Below are 22,863 nucleotides of genomic sequence, written 5' to 3'. Positions count from 1 at the left end.
TCCAGTTTCCCATAATGGTAACATCTTACATAATTATAGAACAATATCAAAGCCAAAAGTCTGCCATTGGTACAATGTGCATATATAATTCTACATCACTTTACCACATGTGTAGATTCACACAACCACCTCTGCAATCAAAGTACAGAACCAATCAATCATGATGAAGATCTCCCTCATGTAATCCTTATGCACTCAAACTCTCCCTCTTCCCCCAATATCCCTAACCCCTGGCAACCACTGTGATATAGTTTGGCTCTGTGTCCCCACCCAAAGCTCACCCTGAATCGTAATAATCCCCACATGTCAAGGGTGGGACCAGGTGGAGATAACTGAATCATGGGGGCGGTTTCCCTCATGCTGTTTTCACAATAGTAAGTTCTTACAAGATCTGATGGTTTTATAAGGGGCTTCCCCCTCCACTCGGCACTCATTCTCTCCTCCCGCCATGTGAAGAAGTGCCATCTGCCATGATTGTAAGTTTCCTGAGGCCTCCCCAGCCACGTGGAACTGTGAGTCAATTAAATCTCTTTTCCCTATAAATTACCCAGTCTTGGGTATTTCTTCATAGCGGCATAAGAATGGACTAATACACACTGATCTGTTTCCTCACACTGTCATTTCAAGAATGGTGTATTAATATGACATTTCACTCACCTAATGCCCTTAAAAACCATCCAAGTTGTTGGGTATCAATAGTTCATTTCACTTTACTAAGGAGTATTCCATTCTAAGGATATAACACAGTTTGTTTAATCATTCACAAACTGAGTGACATTCTAGTGTTTCCAGTTTCAGTTTATTACAAATAAAGCTAGTATGAATAGTCATATATAGATATTTGCATGAACATAAGATTTCATACCTCTGAAAAAAAGCTCAAAGTGAATATTTAATATGTTATTCATATGGATATGTAATATGGAGTTAAAATATGTTAAGTAAATGTTTAGTTTACCAAATGGCCAAAATGTTTCCAGAGTAGTTGTACGATTTTACACTCCCATTAGCAATGTACAGAGCTAGTTTTTCAGCATCCTTGACAGCACTTGGTACTGCCACTATTATATTGTTTTAATAGGTGTATAGTTGCAGAATTAGTTTGCTTTTCTTTAACAGATAACAATGACAAGTATATTCTCATGTACTCATCTGCTATTCATATAGCCTCTTTGGTAAAATGTTTCTCATGTCTTCTGCCCATTTTCTAATTGAATGTTTTTTGCATTGAGGTTTGAGACATACTCCAGATATGAGTCCTTTGTCAGATATGTAGCTTGTAAATATTTAGTCCATGTGTCTAGCTTGTCTTTTCACCATTTCAACAGGGTCTTTGGTGGAGCAAATGTTTTTAATTTTGATGAAGTCCAATTTATTAACTTTTATTAACTTTTTTCTTTTCTAGATGATGCTCTTGGTGTTAAGTCTAAAATCTCTTTATCTAAGTCACAGTCACCAAGTGTTTCTCCTCTGAACCTTCAGGATAATATATACTAAAGACTCTCGATAACCTTATTTTCCTCCACAGAGCACTGAGTTGTGTGTTCTGGCAAGTAGCGTCTGGCCAGTCACCTCAATCCTGTGAAGGCTTCTTTTTGCTTTTGTTAGTACCAGTCTTTTCTTGTTTTTCCTTTAGCCCTAGGATGTAGCCCTTAGTCCCAGTACATGATTCTTAGTCCTAAGGTGTGGCATGGCCCTTCTCACATTTCAATGGAAAGTTCAAGGTGTTTACCAAGCCCCTCTTAACTTGGTGAGACTTCACCTCCAAACTCTATCTCCCTAGCTCAAGCAACTGCTGGAATTTCTGCTCAACTCTTTAACCTCACAGCTGCTGCTTTCTGCTGGCTTCCACAGGGTGTCGTTCAGCACAGGCACAACGTCAAAGATAGCCAATGACTGTAGAGGAACTTGTACACATATTTTGTGACTCTGCTGTCACTATGATTTTTCCCTACTCATTCTCCACCACTCTTTCCCAGCAGGGCCAAATTCCAACCTCAGTTCCTTGCCCCAGGAAGAAGTCACTTCCTGCCTAAACTCTATTCCCTTGGTGTGAACCTAGCACATCTGCAGGATAAACCAGTTAAATGTACAGCTCAGCCAGGTCACTTCCCTTGTTTCAAGTAGTGTGTTGCCTCCAGTTTCTACCTATTTTTGTTTTTATATTCCATCCAGATCTTTTATTATTATTATTGGCAAGAGGGTAAGCCCAATACAGCTCCTCGACCTTTACCAGAACCAGAAGCCCAGGTGTGGCTGTTATGTTAATTTCCCAGTTTGGGAGAAGTATAAATTCATACCTCAAAACATGATGAAAATTGAAAACAAAAAACTGCAGTTGAAAATTTATATGGAAGACTTTTTTTCCCTCTTTCTAGAGCTGAAGATAAAAATCAACAAACTTTGGCTGGGCGCCATGGCTCATGTCTGTAATCCCAGCACTTTGGGAAGCCAAGGCGAGTGGATCACAAGGTCAGGAGTTTAAGACCAGCCTGGCCAAGATAGTGAAACCCTGTATCTACTAAAAATACAAAAATTAGACGGGTGTGGTGGTAGATGCCTGTAATCCCAGCTACTCGGGAGGCTGAAGCAGAGAACTGCTTGAACCCAGGAGGCAGAGGTTGCAGTGAGCCAAGATTGCACCACTGCACTCCGGCCTGGGCAACAGGGCAAGACTCAGTCTTCAATAAATAAGTAAACAAACAAACAAACTTCTTTGTTATCTCTCTGTGTAGGTAAGTGAGTTGCCTTTTTTTTTTTTTTTTTCCAAATTCCCCATTTTATTGATAGCTCTTCAAGGCTCTTAGCTCCACCTAACTGCTTCAGGCAAACCTCTGACCTCATCTTCTATTCTTAAATTGTATCAAACCTCAAAACTATTATACAACAGCAATAACTACCACCTCATCTTGTCCCAGGCAGCCTTAAAGTGTTACCAGTTCAGGATTTTAGTTGCCCCCATTTCTGACTTTTGAAAATTTCCCTCACTTTCTTGTTCATTCCCACGTGTATTCCAAAGTCTTCTTGTTACATTTTACCTTGCATTTTTAGGTTTGTTTGTTTTGTGTTTTTTGTTTTTGAGATGGAGTTTCACTCTGTCACCCAGGCTGGAGTGAAGTGTTGTGATCTCGGCTCACCACAACCTCTGCCTCCCAGGTTCAAGCAATTCTCCTGTCTCAGCCTCCTGAGTAGCTGGGACTACAGGCACATGCCACCATGTCCAGCTAATTTTTGTATTTTTAGTAGAGACAGGGTTTCACCGTATTGGTCAGGCTGGTCTCAAACTCCTCACCTCAGTTGATCTACTTGCCTCGGCCTCCCAAAGTGCTGGGATTACAGGTGTGAGCCACTGAGTCCACCCTCTACGTTTGTTTTTGTATTTTTTTTCTTTTGATGTGGGAGGATCACACATAATTTGCAAGATTATTTCAATAGCTAAATTGCCATAATTAGAAGACCACATGTTATTTTTATAATTAGAATATTTACAAAATCATAAATGCTACATGGAAAAACTATAGGGAAAAATAAGTCCATGTATATGTATATATAATTCATACATCTCAGAAAGTGCAACAAGTGCTGTTTGTTCTTAAAAAAGATTATAAATTAAAAATGAGGACTATAGAAAATAAGGACAATGACAGAACTGACACCGTGTAGTTGTTCTAGAAGTGAAAAGCAATACTACTCAAGCTAGGAGACAGAGAAGAGAAAGTAGTGCAATTGTGCATCTTAATATGGAGCAAGAGCCCAAAGTGGAGCACACAATCTCACAGCCTTTGAAACAGATTCATCATATGCTATGTTTAGAGTTTCCAAAGGCACAGAACTTTCAGAAAGAACTAAGTTAAATAATGCTTCCAATCACCATATACCCACTTTTAACATAAAATTCAATTCTATAACCAATTCAGTAGAAAGCTAAAGAACACAGTACCAATATACTTAAGTCAATAATTCTTATGATATTTCACTCTTTTAAAGAACTAAATCATAAAATGTGATTATCCCACAAAAAACATGAGGACATAGAATGCAAAATAAATTTTTCAAATTAAATTAGAGGCCAGCATTATTCTAAGGAAGTAACTCAGGAACAGAAATCCAAATATCTTATGTTCCCAGTTATAAGTGGGAGCTAAGCTATGGGTATGCAAAGGCATACGGAGTGGTATAATGGACACTGGAGACTCACAAGTGAGGGAGGAGAGAGGGATTAAAAAAACTACATATTGAGCACAATCTACACTACTCGGGTGACCAGTGCACTAAAATCTCAGACTTCACTGTTGTACAACTCATCCATGTAATCAAAAACCACTCATACTCCAAAAGCTATTGAAATAAAAAATAAACATTAAAAATATATCAATTAATTAATTAGAGGTCAGGTGCAGTGGCTCATGCCTGTAATCCCAGCACTTTGGAAGGCTGAGGCAGGTGGATTGCTTGTCACCAGAAGTTAGAGACCAGCCTGGGAAATAATACGAGACACCATCTCTACTAAAAGTAAAAATTAAAAGATTAGCCAGGCATGGTGGCATGTACCTGTAGTCCCAGCTACTAGGAAGGCTGAGGTGGGAGGGTCAGTTGAGCCCAGGAGTGTGAAGTTGCAGTGAGCCATGATCATGCTACTGCACTCTGGACAACAGAGCAAGACCCTACCTCAAAAAACAAAAATTAAATTAGATTAATTTCAAAAACAATCATGGTGATAGTGAATTAATAATCTGTTGAGGCCAGGTGTGATGGCTCATGCCTGTAATCCCAACTCTTTGGGAGGCTCAGATGGATGGATAACTTGAACCCGGGAGTTTAAGACCAGCCTGGCACCTGGTACACAGTAAGCATTCAATAAAGCTAGGCTAAAATGATTTTTTTAAAACTAAAAAGACCAGCCTGGGCAACATAGGAAGACTACATCTCTACAAAAAAAAAGAACAAACGAAAACAGCTGGGCATGGTGGCACACACCTGTAGTACTAGCTACTTAGGAGGCTGAGGTGGGAAGATAGCTTAAGCCCAAGTAGTGAGCTATGATTGTGCCATTGTAGTCCAGCCTGAACAACACAATAAGACTCCATCTCAAAAATAAAAATAGTAATAATCTGTTGAAAAAAAGAGAAAATGCAATGGCGATTAATGACAATATAATGATTAACATTTCCTGAACTAAAATTGTATGTTTTATTTTAGAAAAATGTTAAAACAGCAGTTATAATCTACATGATTTTTAATATTATGTTCTTATTGCATATATCACGTGAAAGGTAAAGTGGCACTGCAAAGGAAAAGATGTACCTTTACTATGGAGCTCTCTGGCAGCACCACTTTAATCAAATGGTCAAAGTAGGCACAACTAATAAAACTTGACACTGCATGCTTCCTGATGAGTTGAAATATGAAGTACCCAATATCACCTACGATATGTTCTTATCAAAAAAAAAAAAAAAAAAAAAAAAGGTTTAACCCAAATCTAATGAAGCTTCCAGACCTAACTTACAGTTTATAGGGAATATGTGGACTAGAGGAATAAGTTAGCAATACCAAGAAAAAGCAAGTAGACAAATCTGCAATGTGGAACATTCTACAGGACAAACAGCCTGGGCTCTCCAAGAGTCAATGTAATGTGGCTAGAAAAAATAGAGGAATAATCCTAGAAAAAAACATTAGGAAAGAGACTCCAAAAGTGAATTATAGAGAGCACCAAGTTGTTTCTTCTGAAGATGCAAAGGTGATTTATTTTTAGGAATTCCATTAATATAATCCACCTATTAATAGAGATGGGAAGAAAAATTCTATACTCATATCTTCAGATGCCATACCAAACTCAATAACCATTAATGTTAAAAACAAAGAGGAAACTGGTAAATACTTATTTAACATGATTTATGCCAACACCAAGCATTAATGAGAATACAGAGCACTGAGCATTCTTTCATTAGTCAAAGCATTTTAACTTCTACAACCTTTTTGGAAAACAGTTTAGATTACCCCCTAAAGTTGAACACCCACATATCCTATAACCTACCAATTTTATTCCTACACATACCCAACAGAGAGCTTGCGCAAGTGCATCAAAATGTGTTTGCAAGGTTTATAATAGCCAAATACAGAAAACAATCCAAATGCCCATCGCCAGTGATGTAGTATACTCATGCACTAAAAATGAACTACAGGTACCTGCAACAAGGATGATTCCATAAACATAATATGAAATAAGAGAAGCCAGATACCAAAGTATACATATCATATGACTCAATTTAAATAAAATTCAAAAGCAGGCAAAATCATCATAGAGTTGGAAGTTATGGTAACTTCCTTTGGCGCAAACGGAGAGAACAGTGATCAGGAGAGGGCACAAGAGGGTCCCCGGGTATGCTGGCAACGTCCTACTTAATGTTCTGTTTCTTGACCCAGTGGCAGTTTCTTGGGTTTTCACACTTGGCAATAATTCATGAAGCAGTACATTTACCTTTTGTACATATTTCTGTATATTTCTAACACTTCAGTAAAAAAGAATTATAATTTTCAAACCAGAAAGAAAGTACAAAGTCATCCCTAAATATCTAAAAAATAATGGAAACATATATAACTATATATCATATTGGTGACAAAAGTACGAACTGAAGAATTATTTCAATTGATTTTAAAACTCACTGTTTTGACTGTATATATCATCCAGTGGGTTATATCACCAGGGAAAAAAAGTACTTACAATGTTCTTTGTAGTTTTGTTGTTAGTAACAATACGTGTACTACTATTTTTAAACTATTCTAAACTTTAAGCTAAAAAAAAAGATCATTATGTTAATATTATTAATGGTCAAGCTTTTTCTTTTTCTTTTTTTTTTTTGAGACAGTCTCACTCTGTTGCCAAGACTGGAATTCAGTAGTGTGATCCCAGTAGCCTCTGCCTCCTGGGTTCAAGCAATTCCCATGCCCCAGCCTCCCAAGTAGCCAGGATTACAGGTGTGCACCACCATGCTCAGCTAATTTTTATATTTTTAGTAAAGATGGGATTTTGCCATGTTGGCCAGGCTGGTCTCGAACTCCTGAGCTCAAGTGATCCACCTGCCTTGGCTCCCAAAGTGCTGGGATTACAGGCATGAGCCACTGCGCCCAGCCAGGATTTTTAGCTTATGAGAAGAAAAATAAAAATTGTAAATCAAGAGGTAAAAATGAATTTTAAATCTGAATTGGGGCCAGGTGCAGTGGCTCACACCTGTAATCCCAGCACTTTGGGAGGCCAAGGCGGGCGAATCACCTGAGGTCAGGAGTTTGAGACCAGCCTGGCCAACATGGTGAAACCCTGTCTCTACTAAAAATACAAAATTAGTCAGGCATGATGCTGCATGCCTGTAATCCCAGCTACTCGGGTGGCTGAGGCAGGAGAATCACTTGAACTGCGAAGGCAGAGGTTGCTGTGAACCGAGATCGCACCATTGTACTCCAGCCGGGGAACAAGAGCAAAACTCCATCTCAATAAAAAAATCTGAATTGGAAAGGTATCAATAAACTCAGAATTTTTCTCTTTTTAAGAAACAATAGTACCCAGATCTGAACTCTGAAAAGCTCTACAAGAAAAAGAAAAAAATCCTAGAGAACCCAGACTGTGTTCTCTAACTACATCTTCTAACAAAAAGTAAATGAGATTCCTTATAAAAGTGGTTTCAAAACTAGGGGCTGACTATTCCCAAAACAAGCCTGTGAAAGCTCACTGCCGAGAAGCCAGCAAGCTATCAGAGACAGGAGTAGGCTCATGTCAACGGGAGAAAGGAGCAAACTTGAATGGCTCCCACTGGATGGAGATGAAACAATTTAAGCATCAAAAAGACTAACGACTGCAAAGGACTAGATGATATACATATACATATATACATCTATAAGTTCTTAAGAATATAAAATCAATTTCACTGGACATTTATGGAGATTTCTAAGGTACCAACTCACTGGACATTTATGGAGATTTCTATGGTACCAACTCTTTATTCTGAAAACTGACCTATGAAGAGAAACAATCAAGCATTTATCCTGCCTTGAGAAACAAATTCTATTTTAGGATAACCAAACAGTTGATCAGGGAAAGCTCTTCTGTAAGAAAACTTCCAACTACAAATAGAAAGGAAATTACAGAACAAGAAAATTATCATTTTGCATCTCTAAAGGATTATTACATGTAGACAATAATCAATTGATGTTAAAACTATTAAATAAAAGAGTGATGAGTTCCTGGCTCACAGATGAGGGTATGAAGAAAAAAAAGAGTGATGGGAATATTTATAATAAGGCCAACAACATCTGACTCCAGTGATCAACTTTAACCCCTCTAATAGAGGTATATAATGCTTAGTTGTCTCACTTTCTATGAAGCAATAGGAAAAATACAGCACCAACTATGAAAAATTCCTATTTCCCTAAGCCATGCCCCCAAAAAAGCACTGAACCAAGGGTCCACATATAAGCAGCCAGGTGCAAGAAGGGAAAGGCAGGTGATAAAGGACTCTGTTAAATAACACCAAAAGGGTGCAATAAAGCTTCTGATGTTCCCATTTGGGCCAAGACAAGGGACAATTTGTAACAAATAAATGACATTAAAAAAAGAGACCAGGAATTAAGACACTTAAGGGTCACATTATCTAAACACAATCCTGGCTCAAAGAAAAATTACAAAATGACATGTATGAAACCATCAGGAAAATCTGAACACTAACTGGGTGTTAGATGATATTCAAGGACTACTGTTGAATGTATTGTGAGTGATAATGAAATTGTGGTTATATATTTTTCTAATCTTTTTCTGTTAGAAAAATACATTTGCTAATAAAATGATATCATTTTATTTAAAATACTCCAGTGAGAGAGAGAGGGGGAGAAAAAGGGAGAGGGAGAATGAAAGCAGGAGACATAGATGAAACAAGATTAGCCAATGTTGATGACTGCTGGAAGCAAATGATGCTTCCTCATTATTGTAGTCTCTCTACTTCTATGTATGTTGACATTTTCCATTATAATAAAAAAAAATTTTCAGACGCTCTTGCTCTGTTACCCAGCTGGAGTGCAGTAGCATGATAATAGCCCACTGCAGCCTCAACCTCCCAGGGTCATGTCTCAGCCTCCTGAGTAGCTGGGACCACAGATCCGCACCACCACGCCAGACTATTTCTATTTTTTCTAGAGACAAGGTCTCTTTATGTTGCCCAGGCTGGTCTCAAACTCCTAGGTTCAAGTCGTCCTCCCACCTCAGCCTCCCAAAGTACTGGGGATTACACCCGTGAGTCACCATGCCCAACCGATAATAAAAAAATTTAATGAAAGGGTTAACCTAGAATGTCTGTTAATATTCCTTTTGGCTGGGCATGGTGGCTCACGCCTGTAATCCCAGCACTTTGGGAGGCTGAGATGGGTGGATTATTTGAGGTCAAGAGTTCCAGATCAGCCTGGCCAACATGGTGAAACCCTGTCTCTACTAAAAATACAAAAACAATTAGCTTGGTATGGCAGTGCACGCCTGTAATCCCGGCTACTCGGGAGGCTGAGGCAGGAGAATTTCTTGAACCTGGGTGACGGAGGTTGCAGTGAGCCAAGATCGTGCCACTGCACTCCAGCCTGGCTGACAGAGTGAGGCTTGGTCACCAAAAAAAAAAAAAAAAAAAAAAATTCTTTTCAGTTATTGCATTTGATGAGTCTGTATTAATTTCCTAAAATATATCCACTGCATGCTTCAAACTAAATATATTGGCTTAATAACAGAAATATTTATTTAAATTACATATAGAAACCACAATGATTACACAGTGGTAAATGTGTTATCTAGGAAAATAAGCTTCAGATAGTTATATTTTTCTGTGAAAAAGATACAGATGCCAATAAAGGCTTCTAAATGCATAAAGGAGATCATGACCAGTTATTTTCTATAGCTGTTAATGAGAGAATAAGATAAAAGAGACTTAAATTATATTACAAGGACAGTAAAATAGATTTTTGCTTTATTTTTTCTTTCTCTTTGTAACAAATTACACCATCATAATCTTCTAACATTCTTTTAATCATTCATTAAACCCTTCAGCTTTGACTGAGTGCCTGAAATACACATTACTTTGCTGGCTCGGCACTGAGGGGTACAAAGGTGAGTAACAAAATGAGGTTCTATGCCTTTAAAATGCTTATAGGGGCCAGGTGCAGTGGCTCACACCTGTAATCCCAGCACTTTGGGAGGCCGAGGCAAGTGGATCATTTGAGGCCAGGTGTTCAAGACCAGCCTGGCCAACATGGTGAAAATCTATCTCTAGTAAAAACACAAAAATTAGTGGGACATGGTGGCATGAACCTGCAATCCCAGCTACTCATGAAGCTGAGGCTGAGAATCTCTTGAACCCGGGAAGCAGAGGTTGCAGTGAGCTGAGATCACACCACTGCACTACAGCCTGGGCAACAGAGCGAGACTCTGTCTCAAAAAATAAATGAATAAATAAGTAAAATAGAAACTAAAATAAAGTGCTTATAGGATCTTCAACCACAATTTTTCTTGTTCCCTGATAGTAAATCTAATAGAGAATTCAGGATTTATCTTACACTTGAAATTTTGTTACTGATTACTGAAAAATTATCTACAAGCACGCAACTACGAGTTTTACAGAAACCTGGTCTCAGGAGTTATGAACCAAAGATTCACCAGTGGATTCCGCAGGGTTTTCAGATCCCCTGAAATCATGTGCTAGGTGCTGACTGCATTTCTCTGGAGAGGCTATAATGGTTTTCATTCATCTGATTCCTCTCAAATAGTAAAAATCGCCAATGGAATGGAGCCACACATCCTGTAGCAGAAAATTCTAAAAAACCAGGAAAAAGATGAAACATGGTACCATGTACCTGCTCAGCCTCTACAGATCCTGCTTCTGGAAGTTGAAACAAATTCTTAAAACTTGCACAACTTTTTTTCTAGTGTTTGAATGACCTCTAGTGGCTCTTTAAATTATCACAGCCAATTGCTCACAGCAGGAATTAGGTTGATGCAAAAGAAATTCACAGATTTTGCCATTAAAAGTAATGAACTAAAGAACTAAAAGGTGTGGAGAAATAACAAAATTAAGATGGCATCACAAAGGAGCACCTGGCTCAATTTCAAGTTATTATATAAGCTCCCTACTATCCAACCAAATGTAGTTCACAATACAGTGTGTGTAATTCAAAACAGTCCACCAGATAGTTCAGTACACACCATTTTTTAAAATGAAATAAGTATGATTTTCCCTAAGTTCTTGCATTTCAAATTAATAAAGCATCAGCAAACACCCATGAAGAGAACGGTACCGGAATCAAAGATACAAGAACCTCGGGAATTAACACCCACCCTTTCCTCTCAGTTGAGGCAGGACCAGGAATAATAAAATACAACGTTGACAAAGTACAACAACTGGAGTAGGAGAAATACTTTGAGAATACAAACTGGCCACAGAACTCAACCTGAGTGAGCACAAGTAACAAATATGGTTCAGGAACTCCTGGGCCAAACTCTCCAAGTGGGAGTGCAGCAGCCGCAACAGCAAGTACCAGTAGAACGAGGGCAGCACATCACCCAGGGTGACCAGCAGGTCCTAGGTTACTTCACATGCCCTCTGCCCAGTCCCTTGAGAATTCCTGCAGCAGCAAAACATACCATTTTCCAGGCACTGCTACAGGGAGTCCCAAGCATACTGATACACTTTCATTCACTTATTTCAAAATATTTGTCAGTATCTAGATATACACAAGACACTGTCTAGGCACCGGGGTGGAGTGTTGAACAAGACAATTCACAATCCCTGTTCCAATGGAGCTTGTAGTCTACTGTGGAAAGAGAAATAAATACATAAAATGCCAGGTGGTGATATATGCTGTGAAAAAGATCAAGTAGAACAACGGGGTTTGGAAATTACAGGGTGCCCATAGTGTTCTTTTCTATAAGTTGGTCATCTCAATTCAGACTAGCCAATCTTGAAGCGCTCAATAGCTACAGTGGCTGGTGGCTACTATACTAGATAGCGCAACAAATCTGAAACTATCATTCATGCCTTTTTAGTTCATAATTTTTATCCTCTTTCTTTCTGAATCCTAAGAGAATTCATCCAACTGATCTTCAAATTCACTAACTCAGCTTCCTAAAGTATCCATACTCTACTGCAACTACTGAATCATTTAATTCAACAGTCATATTTTACATATTCAGAGGCTCTTTCTTCACAGCTCCTGAGCAACAAATGCCTGCTCTGACGATGCAGGAATATCCTCTAAAATCTTGGGACTTTGTCTTGGACTTTATGTTCTCTCCCATCTCCTACAGCTACTCCATCTCACTGGAGACGTTTTGCTCTGAGCCATCAGAAGGAACCCCCATTTTTAAGATCCTAAGCCTTCTCATCTTCCTGGTAATACTGCCCTATATGCTCAATCTTTTAGATAAAAATCTACTCGACACATCTCTGAGAACCAAGTTGGGTACCATCAGTAATCACACAGGTCACAATTCATTTATTTTAGGCCCCCCAAAAAAGGAAAAAATTAGACTTAGTGGCATTTTACTAGTAGCTCAGAGATCCAACAGTTTGCAGGAAATAGAGATGGAATTGTAAGCAAGGGAAATACAGTGAAATTATATTAATCTCCACCCAGACACTATAAGGACAGCTGGGATACTATCCCAGCAATTGGCTACTGCAGTGAACGGCACAGAGAGGAAAGTTTCCAATTCCTCTTAAGGCTCCAAATACCAATTGGCTACTATAGTGGACAACACAGACACAGAAAATGTTCCAATTCCTCTTAAAGCCCCAAATACCACACAACCAGCTTCAGCTCTACAAAATACCCTCTCCTTACCCCCTTTTAACCTCCTTCAGGACCTCTTGCTATTTCCCCTAAAAAGTCTTGGTTCTTTTCACCTACACTGACTCTTGAGCCTCTCCCAATTCAAGGGATAAAACTCTATTACCAATTAAGTGTAATACACATTAACAGAATAGGTAGAAAGTAATCTTTCATACGAAAACACTGAAAGCCAGAAGAATTTGAATTTTGAATTATAAGCTATGATTTAATTAGGAAATACATTAGCTGTAACAAAATGTTGGACAGACTACAAGAAAACGGGAAATGAACAAGTCTTATTCAAAAACAAATGAAATAATGATGAGTAGGGTTCACGAGCCTTGTTAACTCTGCTGTGCCATTTTAATGATGGACTACATTGTAAATGAGCCGCTATGTTTAAGCCTAAAGGTCTGTTGAGGTGATAGTTTTCGAACAATTTCCACAATCCCACAAAGAAAAATCAAGTGAAGGTCAAGGAAAGCCGCATGTTCTAAATTACGGAATCAACAACAGTATTTCTTGTCATTAATCACATTTCAGTCATAAAAGACATTACCTCAACAACAGGTGTATTTTCCTGGAGCTCAGTTGTGTGAAAAGCCAGTAAACCAACCACCCAAGCAACGTTGGCCCATCTGTAAACGGAGAGAAAACAGGCTCTGAAGAGTAGGTACTGAGGAAACTAACCCCAGCTAGTTACATAATGCAACGAAGAGCATTAGATGTAAGACTGTGAAACAAAAATTGAATGTGACAGGTCAGGCCCACACTCCCCATTCTCTGGGCATCTACACAGCCCAGAGAATCTCTCCCTCATATACACAGGGAGACACGAACTGTAATGACTGCGGCAATTCTGCAATAGCAACAAAATTTAAACAAGTTATGGTGTAATAGTAAAAGGAAAAATAAAATTTTTTAAAAGCCTTAACCAGAGAAAAGAGCAAAACAGTAATTAATCATTTTATTTCTGAGTACAGAGGCATTTGGCTAAAGGTCTCTTTTCTAATTGTTAGTAGATCAGTGAGTTTCTATGTAAGTGCTAAATATCTGAACAATAACATACCTGTATGCATTAAGTTTAAAAGAAACTTTTACAATTAAAAGTGTTTAAAATATTGTACTATTTCCATAAACACTAGTCTTAATGAGGTGTTCCTTTAGTGTCCAGCAGAAAACTGAATTTGATAAATCACTATTAATAAATCACAGTGTGATTTGAAAAGGTATTTCATGCAGAAAAATTCGTTTTGAAGAGATTTTTTCTAATTGAAACAAATGGTGAGTTGATGAGAACTGCACTCATTGAGTGATGTCTGCATGTTGTCTGGGGTAATCAGTATGTACCTTAGCTTTTATTTTTTACCTTCTTAAAGTAAACCCATGTGTGGCCAGGCATGGTGGCTCACGCCTGTAATCCCAGCACTTTGGGAAGCCGAGGCAGGCGGATCACAAGGTCAGGAGATCAAGACCATCCTGGCTAACCCAGTGAAATCCTGTCTCTACGAAAAATACAAAAAACTTAGCTGGGTGTGGTGGCAAGCACCTGTAGTCCCAGCTACTCGGGAGGCTGAGGCAGGAGAATGACGTGAACCTGGGAGGTGGCGCTTGCAGTGAGCCGAGATCACGTCAGTGCACTCCAGCCTGGGTGACAAAGTGAGACTCTGTCTCAAAATAAATAAATAAATAAATAAATAAATAAACCTATGTGGCACCCATGGGGGAAAACAAATCAGACTCAGAGAAGTACTACCGGGAAAAGGTCTGCTTTATCACAACTCTAACATACGGAAATAATTCTTAGAAATTTCAACACTTATTAAATTGCCCATTAAAATTTCTTAACATATACAAATTAAAGAAGTCCTAGGCAATTGGAGAGTTAGCATCCCACCTCCAAATAAAAAGATTATAGGTTAAAAGTAATCATTTTGAAAAATATCTGTAGGATAATTGGAAAAGCCATCCTACCACCACAACCCCCCAAGTAGCTGGGACTACAGGCGTGCACCACCACGCTCAGCTAATTTTTTTACTTTTTGTAGAGATGGGGTCTTGTTATGATGCCCAGGCTGGCCTTGAACTCCTAACAAACAATCCTCCTATCTCAGCCTCCCAAACTGCTGAGATTACAGGCCTGAGCCACTGCACCTGCCTATCTCTTTCCAAAGACAAGCTCAAAATACTTTTGAAACACTGAACCATTTTTCAATCTATAAAAGTAAATAATGGCTACCAGATTTAATCAACTAAAATAAAAATCTAACAACATGTCAGTTATTTTCCCTAATATGACCAAAACAATTATTATTAGAATAAGAGAAAACACACTACCTAAAAACCCTATACTTTTAAAATAGAAACTTTAAATAGCTTATGAATAGTCACTTTTTACCAAAATCCTAAATACAAGTACCACATGCCCCATAGACAACACCCTCACAGTACAGGTTCCTTCTCAAAATTCAGGTTTTCTCAGGTCACCACTCCAGGTGCCCCCAGTGACTTGACACTGTACCTCAGAACCAACCCATCTCCATGACGGCATCTAAGGCACCACTGTCTACCAAACCTTCGTGCACTGACAAATGTCCCACATCTGCACTGTTCAATCCAGTATCCACTAGACACATGACTATCAAGCACATAATATATGACACATGCAAGTGAGGAACAACAAATTTTATTCAAATTAATTTTTTTTTTTTTTTTGGGAGACAGGGTCATCCAAGCTAGAGAGCAGTGGCGCAGTCTCCGCTCACTGCAATGCCTCCCGGGCTCAAGTAATCCTCCCAACTCAGCCTCCCAAATAGCCGGGACTATAGGTGTGTGTCACCACACCTGGCTAATTTTTGTATTTTTAGTAAAAACGGGGTTTCGTCATGTTGTCCAGGCTGGTCTTGAGCTCCTGAGCTCAACTGATCTGCCCACCTCAGCCTCCCAAAGTGCTGGGATTACAGGCGTTAGCTACTGCATCTCGCCTTAACTTTTCTTTTAAAAATTACTCCCACAGTTGAGGGTGAGGGAGACAGTGCCCTGGGGTAATTACTCATCTTTCATGTGCCTAGTCCTGGTTACCTCATAAGTAGGACCGATAACAATACATACCGCATGTTGTTAAAAGAATCAAAGGAGATAATCCATGTGCAGAAAGTACCATTGTGTCTGACAATACATGCTGAATGAGTAAGCTACTATTAATTTAATTAATTTAAATGACCCCCATGAAGTGAATGGCTACCACATTAGAGCAGAACTAAAATTTTGCAGTTACTTATTCATTCGTTGACTGGTTTATTGTCTGTCTCCCCGACCAGCCCAGAAGATCCATGAAGGCAGGGCTGTATCCCGATCGCCACTGTGACACCTAGACAGTGCTTGGAGCGCACTCGGGCATCTAAAAATGTTGGTTGAACAAATATATCAACATCAAAAGCAAAATAAACACATTAGTAGGAAAGGAGTGCATAAAAGTATGGCTGTACAAGGCAAACAAAATGCAAACAGGATTGCCAATGTAAATCTCAGCAGAATTCAAGGCTAAACTCTTCAGAAAAAGATTCCCTTTAAACTAAACACCATATGACCTACAAAAGATCTAAGGTGTGAATCTTTATACACCAAATAACAAAGCACGCAAAGTAAACCCATGGTAGTGGTAAACTTCAATTTTCTTCTCTTCCAAGCACAGAGAGAAGGCAATAATGAATATATTAATCAATACATTCATACATTCAAGCATCCTAAATAAAACTAATGAAGTCAAAGTAACAGACGTATCTATCAAACTCTACACCCTACAAACAGTGACCACCCTTACTCAGTGGGAGGCTGCATAGGATGGTGTCTAACACTCTAGAATTCAAAGTCTTGGACCTAGCTCTGGCCCAACATTGGAGGTGAGGGAGACAGTACCCTGGGATAATTACTCATCTTTCATGAGCCTGGTTTCATGTTGTTCTAAGAATCAGGAGATAATCCACATGCAGAAATTACCACTGTGTCCTGACAATTTGTGCTGACTGAGCAAGCTACTATTACTACATTATTATCAATACTTGACTACATTCATGGCATACATTTAAAATGATTTTATATTAGACCACAAAGATAAATCTTTAGAATTCCCTAGGGCAGAAATCATAAAGGACTCATTTTGATATAGTAAAAGGAGAAAAGTAAAAATAGCAAATATAACCCAAAAAGCCTAAACACTTGTGGAGTTAAAAGCACTTCTCCTGGGCATGGTGGCTCATGCCTGTAATCCCAGCACTTTGGGAGACTGAGGCGGGTGGATCACTTGAGGTCAGAAGTTCAAAACCAGCCTGGCCAACATGGTGAAATGCCATCTCTACTAAAAAATACAAACATTAGCCGGGTATGGTGGTGGGCGCCTGTAATCCCACCTACTCGAGAGGCAGAGGCAGGAGAATTGTTGAACCCAGGAGGCAGAGGTTGCACTGAGCCGAGATCATGCCACTGCACTCCAGCCTGGGTAACAGAGCAAGACTCCCTCTCATAAATAAATAAATAAATAAAGCACTTCTATATACCTTATACACCATATTAAAAAGTGAAAACTTTGGCCAGGTACAGTGGCTCACACCTGTAATCCCTAGCACTTTAGGAGGACAAGATGGAATGATCACTAAGGCCAGGAGTTCAAGACCAGCCTGGCCAACAAAGTGACACTCTGTCTCTTCAAAAAAAAAAAAAAAAATTGTAATTTAGCCAGGCATGGTGGCATGTACCTGTAGTCCCATTGCAGCCTGGGGCACAAAGTGAGACCCTATTTTTTTAGAGTAAGTCTCTAAAAATAATACTAATAATAATAATAATAAAATAAGTAAATGAAAAGAAAAAATAAAAGGGAAAGGGAAAGAAAGAAAGCATCTGTAAATCAAAATCATGTAAGTAACACAGATCCAAACTTATGAGACATTCTCTGTCTTTAACGGTTGCAGACTAAACACTCGACACTCACTTTTCTGAACCCTCTAGAGTCTCTAAAATACAAGCTCTTTTTATTAAATGATAATTGGAAACAAAAAGGAGGGCTAAAAGTGGACTAGAAAGTTTGAGAAAATCTCAGATGACATGCACAAATAGAATTAAGACTGACAGAGAATCAACAAAGGAATCCCCTGTCTAAGAACCACAGGTAGACAGACGTTCCCAAGGAAGCCTCAGGGACTTGGAATAAACTAAGACAAAAACAAAGAATGAGCCACAAGACAATCATCAGATTAAACAACTGCACAAAGAAAAATTGTGTCCTTGTACAAGGAACAGTTGAGCCAATCAGATCCTGTCTCCTTTCCGTCTCCTTCCCCTGGTACACAGAATAAACCCTGCAGCCCTGGCCTCCTGGGTAAACGTGGAAAATCGTTCCTACAGTGAGCAATCCACCTTGCTCACTGGATGGATGGATGTGGGAAGCAGCGACTGTGGTCCTACAGATACTGAAGCGGGAAAGGGGTTAAATGAGGAAAGCCAGCTCCACTGCAAAGAAAAACCCACCCTGGCAATTGCAGAGGCCTCCAGCCTGCCTACTGATCTTCAGCCAGCTGGAATCCCAAATTAAACTCAACCAGTCAACAGGCCTCACATACCACATATCAGCCCTTTCTTTAAAGGAAAGGCTATTGGAGAAAGAGACTTAGGCACGAATAAAGGAAACTCGTATTGCCAACTTCTATACCAATCAATTTAATCATTTATTCATAATATAAACGAAGAAACAGAGATCACCAGGCATTTGAGAAATAAACAGCATTAAAAAGCAGGACCATGATGAAAAACAAGTGACCTACAAGTTCAAGACATAAGAATACAATGTTTATAATCTGAATTTTGTTCCCTTTTTTTCAAAGTCCAGGTTCCAGGCTTATATTATATAATCCTAATGTTTAGCCTTAAATATTAATAACAACATTTAATTCTAAATTCTGCTCCAAGACGAGGATTTTTATAATCCTAATATTTATCCTCAAATTCAAAAGTACACACCTAATATAGGCAGCTAGGAAAAAGGACCAATCAGAGAAAAAGAAAATGAACAAAAACTTTCAAATATGATTGTTGAAATTAAAAAATTAACTGGAAATCCTAAATAATAAAATGAGTGGGGATAAATATCAAGTTTGAGAGCTCAAAGATAAAGTCAAGGAAGAGCAATAAAAGAAGAAAGTTTGCATGGACACAAAGAGGGAACAATCGACACGGGGGCCTATTTAGGGTGGAGGGTGGGAGGAGGGAGAGGATCAGAAAAAATAACAATTGGTCCTTACCAAGCTTAGTGCCTGGGTGACCAAATAATTCATACAACAAACCCCCATAACATGAGTTCACCTATATAACAAACCTGCATGTGTACCCCTGAACCTAAAATAAAAGTTTAACAAAGAGACTTTGGCAGTTCTTCAAAAGGTTCAACACAGAGTTACCATTTTATCCAGCAATCTCACCACTGTAGGAGAAATAAAAACGTATATGTTCACACAAAACCCTGTGGACAAATGTTCAGAGCACCATTATTCATAATAGCCAAATGTGGAAACAACCCCAAATGTCCATCAAGACCACATAAGCAAAATGTGGAATAGCCATACAAAGATTATTCAGCTAGAAAAAGAATGAAGTACTCACACATTCCACCATATGGAGGAACCTTGAAAACATTATGCTAAATGACAGAAGCTAGACACAAAAGGCCACACACTGTATGATTCCATTTATATGAAATATCAAGAATAGCAAATCAGCTGACAAGAAGTAGATTAGTTGTTGCCAGGGGTTGGAGAAGAATGGGTACTGGGTTTCACTGGGTGAGAAAACTGTTCTGAAATTAGATAGTGGCGATGGTTGAACAGTTTTCAATATACTGACACCTACTGAACTGTACACATTAAAATGGTGAATTTTATGGTATGTGAATTATATCTCAATAAACAAGAGAAAGTGAGAAAGCAAAAGAAAATTTGAAAGAAGAGTCAAGAGACACAAACTCCCACACCCATCCTGTAGGGGTTTCAGGAACAGAAAAAGGATGAAATAGAGAGGAAGAAATCTAAGAAGTAATATGAAAGCTAAAGGAGGGGTGAAGAGGATAGGCATTGTGGCTTACACCTATAATCTCAGCACTTTGGGAGGCCAATGCAAGTGGATCACTTGAGGTCAGGGGTTCGAGACCAGCCTGGCCAACATGGTGAAAACCAATCTCTACTGAAAACACAAAAATTAACTGGGCATGGTGGCACACACCTGTAATCCCAGCTACTCAGGAGGCTGAGGCAGGAGACTCACTTGAACCTGGGAGGTAGAGGTTGCAGTGAGCCAAGATTACCCCACTGCACTCCAGCCTGGGTGACAGAGCAATACTCTATCTCAAAATAAATGGAAAGAAAAGAAGGGAAGGAAGGGATGGGAGAGGGGAAGGAAGGCATGGGAGAGGGGAAGGAAGGGGAAGAAGGGGAGGGAGGAAGGGAGAGAGGGAGGGAGGGAGGGAGGGAGGAAGGCAGGAAGGCAGGCAGGCAGAAGCAAATTAGTAAAAAGAGATGGCAGGAAGGCAGGCTGAAGCAAATTAGTAAAAGAGATTCCTAGAGACAATCTAGTAAAATTTACAGGCCTGGAATAAAAAGAAATGCTAACTCAAATAAGACACACAAAAGACGGGGTAAAAATAAAAGGTAAGGTTGACCCCCAAGTCCTACAGAGCTACAGTTAGTACAGGGAAGAGAGCTCAAACACCAAAGCATGGCACAGAGGTAAGCCACTGAGAGGCCTTGTTCAAAAGAAAGCAAAACAAAAAATCTATCAGCCAGGCATGGTGGCTCATGCCTATAATCCCAGCACTTTGGGAGGCCAAAGCAGGTGGATCACCTGAGGTCAGGAGTTGAAGACCATCTGGCCAACATGGTGAAACCCTGTCTCTACAAAAATACAAAAATTGCCAAGCATGATGGCAGGTGCCTGTAATCCCAGCTACACGGGAGGCTGACACAGAACAATCGCTTGAACCCAGGAAGCAGAGGTTGCAGTGAGCTGAGATCGCGCCACTGCACTCCAGCCTGGGCGACAGAGCGAGACTCCATCTCAAACAACAAAAAAACCTATCCAATGATAAAATATAATCAACCAAGAGGAGAACTACACCAAAGAAACAGGAAAACTGTGTTTTTAATTAAAAAATTAATGATGGATGAGCATTTACCTTATTCAAGTATAAAACTCTTATTTAAAAAATAGAAAAATTCTTCCTAAATTCATATCTCAAAAAGGCACTTGCCACAGTAAAAAGCGACCAGTGTAATGAGAGAAGATATTTACAATCATTTATCTGACACGGGGTTAATATCTAGAATATATAAAAAATACCTACAACTCTAAACAACATAAAACTCAATACAAAAATTGGCAAATGACTTGATTAGACCTTTCTCCAAATAGCCAACAATCAAACAAAAAGATGTTCAACATCAGTAGTCACAAAATACAAATCAAAACCATGAGATACTACTTCACACCCATCAGGATAGCTGTTAGCAAAAAACAAAAACAGAAAACACTAATGTTCGTAGCAGCATTGTTCACAATAGCCAAGAGATATAAACAAGCCAGTGCCCAACAACAGATGAAAAAATAAACAAACTGTGGTATATACATACAAAGGGATATGATTCAGCCTTAAAAAGGAATGAAATGCTGACACATGGTTAGTTACAACATGGATGAACCTTGCAAATGAAACCAGCCCAATTGTCCTATAGAACTGATGCTTACAGTCTTTTAAAATAAAGATAGAAATTGACCCTCCCAGTCTTAAAACTTGAGAAAGTTACATTTGTCTTATCTGAATTCCTTTTTTGGGAAACAAACCATAAGGCCTCCCAGATAGTTATCAAGGAACTGAAACTTACCACATCACCACATCTGAACCATAAGACACCAGACCACCTCACCCATCACAATTGCCTAACCAACTACCTGCTTCCTGTTGACCAACTCCTCTTCCTCACCCTTCCCTAACTCCTGTTTTCCCATACATGGTTACATTTCTTCCCTGCTAAATAAACCCCTGGTTTTAGTCAGTGGAGGTGACAAATTTGAGATTGATCTCCCATCTCCTTAGCTGCAGTACCCAGTTGAAGCCTTCTTCCCTAGCAACACTCATCGTCTCTGTGATTGGCTTTCTGAGCTGTGAGCAACAGGACCTAGACCAAACCCCTTGATGTTTCGGTAGCAATATGAGGTGCTCACCATAAGCAAATTCACCAGGATAGAATAAGTAGAGTATAGCTCACCAGGACTGGGGAAGGGAAAGGGGAAGTTACCGTTTAATGGGTAAAGAGCTTCTGTTTAAGATGACGAAAAAGTTCTGGAAATGAATAGTGGTGATGGTTATACAACAATGGGAATGAACTAAATGCCACTGTACACATAAAAATGGCTGAAATGGAACATTTTAAATTATGCATAATATACAATTAACACATTTTTAAAATTACACTATTACAATATTACTATATATGAATTATACCTCATAAAGTTGATTGGCAAGGATAGAAGGATACACAATTTGATAAATACTCAATGTTGGAAGTTCTAACAAAAGGCATTTTAAACACATTGGGATTATATATTGATACAATTTATTTAAGAGTATTTCAGCAATTTTTTAGAAGTCACAAAGATATTTACTGCCTTCTACCCATTTGTTCTAATTTGTTCTAATTCTATGAATCTTCCCTAAAGAGAAAAAGAAAATGTGGGCACAAAGATTTAATCTCAAATATGTTCATCAAAATGTTGTTTCCAACATTATAATACTATCCAAAATTAGTAAACAAAATGATCAGATATTCACAACATATAAAAAGTTTACCTTATTATGTATTTTATTTTAAAATGTTAATAACATTTAAAATACATAATATATATGTTACAGGGGAAAACAAACTTATAAAATTATATCACGTGATTCTAATTTTTTTATATGCAAAACAAAACTAA

The 22,863-nt window shown here is 38.8% G+C and overlaps 1 pseudogene across 3 annotated transcripts in view; it reads right to left on the bottom strand.

The window, feature by feature from the left end:
• Nucleotides 1-22,863, bottom strand: part of LOC100288637 (OTU deubiquitinase 7A pseudogene) — a 126,895-nt pseudogene that overhangs the window by 100,757 nt on the left and 3,275 nt on the right. For 2 of the 3 annotated variants that reach the window (NR_038254.1, NR_038255.1), the window contains exon 1: nucleotides 13,409-13,536. The exons of the other annotated variant lie outside the window; for it this stretch is intronic. The product of NR_038254.1 is annotated as an OTU deubiquitinase 7A pseudogene, transcript variant 2 (transcript). Of the gene's footprint in view, nucleotides 1-13,408; nucleotides 13,537-22,863 lie in introns of those variants that run through there. 3 annotated transcript variants of the gene reach the window in all.

Source organism: Homo sapiens, chromosome 15 (assembly GCF_000001405.40).
Source record: "Homo sapiens chromosome 15, GRCh38.p14 Primary Assembly".
Taxonomy (NCBI): domain Eukaryota; kingdom Metazoa; phylum Chordata; class Mammalia; order Primates; family Hominidae; genus Homo; species Homo sapiens.
Note: the sequence above shows the minus strand (reverse complement) of the source record. Positions and strands in the feature narration are given on the sequence as shown.